This window comes from Homo sapiens, chromosome 1 (genome assembly GCF_000001405.40).
Source record: "Homo sapiens chromosome 1, GRCh38.p14 Primary Assembly".
Taxonomy (NCBI): Eukaryota; Metazoa; Chordata; class Mammalia; order Primates; family Hominidae; genus Homo; species Homo sapiens.
The window spans coordinates 74,876,786-74,881,232 of NC_000001.11; the positions used below are offsets into that span (position 1 = coordinate 74,876,786).

At 42.7% G+C, this 4,447-nt stretch overlaps 2 annotated features.

Moving 5' to 3' along the window:
• Window positions 219-719: an enhancer, noted in NCBI's record as "H3K4me1 hESC enhancer chr1:75342688-75343188 (GRCh37/hg19 assembly coordinates)". NCBI's record gives its function as "activates a minimal SCP1, AML or CMV promoter by ChIP-STARR-seq in naive H9 embryonic stem cells {active_cell/tissue: H9 hESC(naive)}" and the evidence as "EXISTENCE:reporter gene assay evidence [ECO:0000049][PMID:30033119]".
• Window positions 720-1,220: an enhancer, noted in NCBI's record as "H3K4me1 hESC enhancer chr1:75343189-75343689 (GRCh37/hg19 assembly coordinates)". NCBI's record gives its function as "activates a minimal SCP1, AML or CMV promoter by ChIP-STARR-seq in naive H9 embryonic stem cells {active_cell/tissue: H9 hESC(naive)}" and the evidence as "EXISTENCE:reporter gene assay evidence [ECO:0000049][PMID:30033119]".

Genomic DNA, 4,447 nt, shown 5'->3' on the forward strand with positions numbered 1-4,447 from the left:
GGCTGAAGCAGGATAATCACTTGAACCTGGGAGGCAGAGGCTGCAGTGAGCTGAGATCACACCACTGCACTCCAGCCTGGGCGACAGAACACAACTCTATCTTAAAAAACAAACAAACAAAAAAAAACAAAAAAAACCTCAACAACAACAAAAAAGTCCAGAAATAGCTGGATTTATAGCCAAATTCTACCAGAAGTACAAAGAAGAACTGGTACCAGTCCTACTCAAACTGATTCAAAAGTTTAAGGAGTGAATCCTCCCTAACTCATTCTATGAAGCTAGTATCACATTGACACCAAAGCCAGGCAAGGAAGCAACAAAAAAAGAAAACTCGTGGGGAGGAGCCAAGATGGCCGAATAGGAACAGCTCTGGTCTACAGCTCCCAGCATGAGCGATGCAGAAGACGGGTGATTTCTGCATTTCCATCTGAGGTACCGGGTTCATCTCACTAGGGAGTGCCAGACAGTGGGCGCAGGTCAGTGGGTGCGCACACCCTGCACCTGCAGAAGCAGGGCGAGGCATTGCCTCACTTGGGAAGTGCAAGGGGTCAGGGAGTTAGTTCTCTTTCCTAGTCAAAGAAAGGGGTGACAGACGGCACCTGGAAAATCGGGTTACTCACACCCGAATACTGCACTTTTCCGACGGGCTTAAAAAACGCCGCATGAGGAGACTGTATCCCGCACCTGGCTCAGAGGGTCCTATGCCCACGGAGTCTCGCTGATTGCTAGCACAGCAGTCTGAGATCAAACTGCAAGGCTGCAGAAAGGCTGGGGGGCGGGGGCGCCCGCCATCGCCTAGGCTTGCTTAGGTAAACAAAGCAGCCCTGAAGCTTGAAATGGGTGGAGCCCACCACAACTCAAGGAGGCCTGCCTGACTCTGTAGGCTCCACCTCTGGGGGCAGGGCACAGACAAACAAAAAGACAGCAGTAACCTCTGCAGACTTAAATGTCCCTGTCTGACAGCTTTGAAGAGAGCAGTGGTTCTCCCAGCACACAGCTGGAGATCTGAGAACGGGCAGACTGCCTCCTCAAGTGGGTCCCTGACCGCTGACCCCTGAGCAGCCTAACTGGGAGGCACCCCCCAGCAGGGGCAGACTGACACCTCACACGGCCTGGTACTCCAACAGACCTGCAGCTGAGGGTCCTGTCTGTTAGAAGGAAAACTAACAAACAGAAAGGACATCCACACCAAAAACCCATCTGTACATCACCATCATCAAAGACCAAAAGTAGATAAAACCACAAAGATGGGAAAAAAACAGAGCAGAAAAACTGGAAACTCTAAAACACAGAGCGCCTCTCCTCCTCCAAAGGAACGCAGTTCCTCACCTGCAATGGAACAAAGCTGAACAGAGAATGACTTTGATGAGCTGAGAGGAGAAGTCTTCAGATGATCAAATTACTCTGAGCTACAGGACGAAATTCAAACCAAAGGCAAAGAAGTTGAAAACTTTGAAAAAAGTTTAGAAGAATGTATAACTAGAACAACCAATACAGAGAAGTGCTTAAAGGAGCTGATGGGGCTGAAAACCAAGGCTCAAGAACTATGTGAAGAATGCAGAAGCCTCAGGAGCCGATGCGATCAACTGGAAGAAAGGGTATCAGCGATGGAAGATGAAGTGAATGAAATGAAGCGAGAAGGAAGTTTAGAGAAAAAAGAATAAAAAGAAATGAGCAAAGCCTCCAAGAAATATGGGACTATGTGAAAAGACCAAATCTATGTCTGATTGGTGTACCTGAAAGTGATGGGGAGAATGGAACCAAGTTGGAAAACACTCTGTAGGATATCATCCAGGAGAACTTCCCCAATCTAGCAAGGCAGGCCAACATTCAGATTCAGGAAATACAGAGAACTCCACAAAGATACTCCTCGAGAAGAGCAACTCCAAGACACATAATTGTCAGATTCACCAAAGTTGAAATGAAGGAAAAAATGTTAAGGGCAGCTGGAGAGAAAGGTCGGGTTACCCACAAAGGGAATCCCATCAGACTAACAGCGGATCTCTCGGCAGAAACTCTACAAGCCAGAAGAGAGTGGGGGCCAATATTCAACATTCTTAAAGACAAGAATTTTCAACCCAGAATTTCATATCCAGCCAAACTAAGCTTCATAAGTGAAGGAGAAATAAAATACTTTACAGACAACCAAATGCTGAGAGATTTTGTCACCACCAGGCCTGCCCTAAAAGAGCTCCTGAAGGAAACGCTAAACATGGTAAGGAACAACCAATACCAGCCGCTGCAAAATCATGCCAAAATGTAAAGACCATCGAGACTAGGAAGAAACTGCATGAACTAACGAGCAAAATAACCAGCTAACATCATAATGACAGGATCAAATTGACACATAACAATATTAACTTTAAATGTAAATGGACTAAATGCTCCAATTAAAAGACACAGACTGGCAAATTGGATAAAGAGTCAAGACCCATCAGTGTGCTGTATTCAGGAAACCCATCTCACGTGCAGAGACACAGATAGGCTCAAAATAAAAGGATGGAGGAAGATCTACCAAGCAAATGGAAAACAAAAACAGGCAGGGGTTGCAATCCTAGTCTCTGATAAAACAGACTTTAAACCAACAAAGATCAAAAGAGACAAAGAAGGCCATTACATAATGGTAAAGGGATCAATTCAACAAGAAGAGCTAACTATCCTAAATATATATGCACCCAATACAGGAGCACCCAGATTCATAAAGCAAGTCCTGAGTGACCTACAAAGAGACTTAGATTCCCACACATTAATAGTGGGAGACTTTAACAACCCCCTGTCAACATTAGACAGATCAACGAGACAGAAAGTCAACAAGGATACCCAGGAATTGAACTCAGCTCTGCACCAAGCGGACCTAATAGACATCTACAGAACTCTCCACCCAAATAAACAGAATATACATTTTTTTCAGCACCACACCACACCTATTCCAAAATTGACCACATACTTGGAAGTAAAGCTGTCCTCAGCAAATGTAAAAGAACAGAAATTATAACAAACTGTCTCTCAGGCCACAGTGCAATCAAACTAGAACTCAGGATTAAGAATCTCACTCAAAACCACTCAACTACATGGAAATTGAACAACCTGCTCCTGAATGACTACTGGGTACATACGAAATGAAGGCAGAAATAAAGATGTTCTTTGAAACCAACAAAAACAAACACACAACATACCAGAATCTCTGGAACACATTCAAAGCAGTGTGTAGAGAGAAATTTATAGCACTAAATGCCCACAAGAGAAAGCAGGAAAGATCCAAAATTGACACCCTAACATCACAATTAAAAGAACTAGAAAAGCAAGAGCAAACACATTCAAAAGCTAGCAGAAGGCAAGAAATAGCTAAAATCAGAGAAGAACTGAAGGAAATAGAGACACAAAAAACCCTTCAAAAAATTAACGAATCCAGGAGCTGGTTTTTTGAAAGGATCAACAAAATTGATAGACCGCTAGCAAGACTAATAAAGAAAAAAAGAGAGAAGAATCAAATAGACACAATAAAAAATGATAAAGGGGATATCACCACCGGTCCCACAGAAATACAAACTACCATCAGAGAATACTACAAACACCTCTACGCAAATAAACTAGAAAATCTAGAAGAAATGGATAAATTCCTCGACACATACACTCTCCCAAGACTAAACCAGGAAGAAGTTGAATCTCTGAATAGACCGATAACAGGATCTCAAATTGTGGCAATAATCAATAGCTTACCAACCAAAAAGAGTCCAGGACCAGATGGATTCACAGCTGAATTCTACCAGAGGTACAAGGAGGAACTGCTACCATTCCTTCTGAAACTATTCCAATCAATAGAAAAAGAGGGAATCCTACCTAACTCATTTTATGAGGCCAGCATCATCTTGATACCAAAGCTGGGCAGAGACACAACCAAAAAAGAGAATTTTCGACCAATATCCTTGATGAACATTGATGCAAAAATCCTCAATAAAATACTGGCAAACCGAATCCAGCAGCACTTCAAAAAGCTTATCCACCATGATCAAGTGAGCTTCATCCCTGGGATGCAAGGCTGGTTCAATATACACAAATCAATAAATGTCATCCAGCATATAAACAGAACCAAAGACAAAAACCACATGATTATCTCAATAGATGCAGAAAAGGCCTTTGATAAAATTCAACAACACTTCATGCTAAAAACTCTCAATAAATTAGATATTGATGGGACGTATTTCAAAATAATAAGAGCTATCTATGACAAACCCATGGCCAATATCATACTGAATGGGCAAAAACTGGAAGCATTCCCTTTGAAAACTGGCACAAGACAGGGATGTCCTCTCTCACCACTCCTATTCAACATAGTGTTGGAAGTTCTGGCCAGGGCAATTAGGCAGGAGAAGGGAATAAAGGGTATTCAATTAGGAAAAGAGGAAGTCAAATTGTCCCTGTTTGCAGATGACATGATTGTGTATCT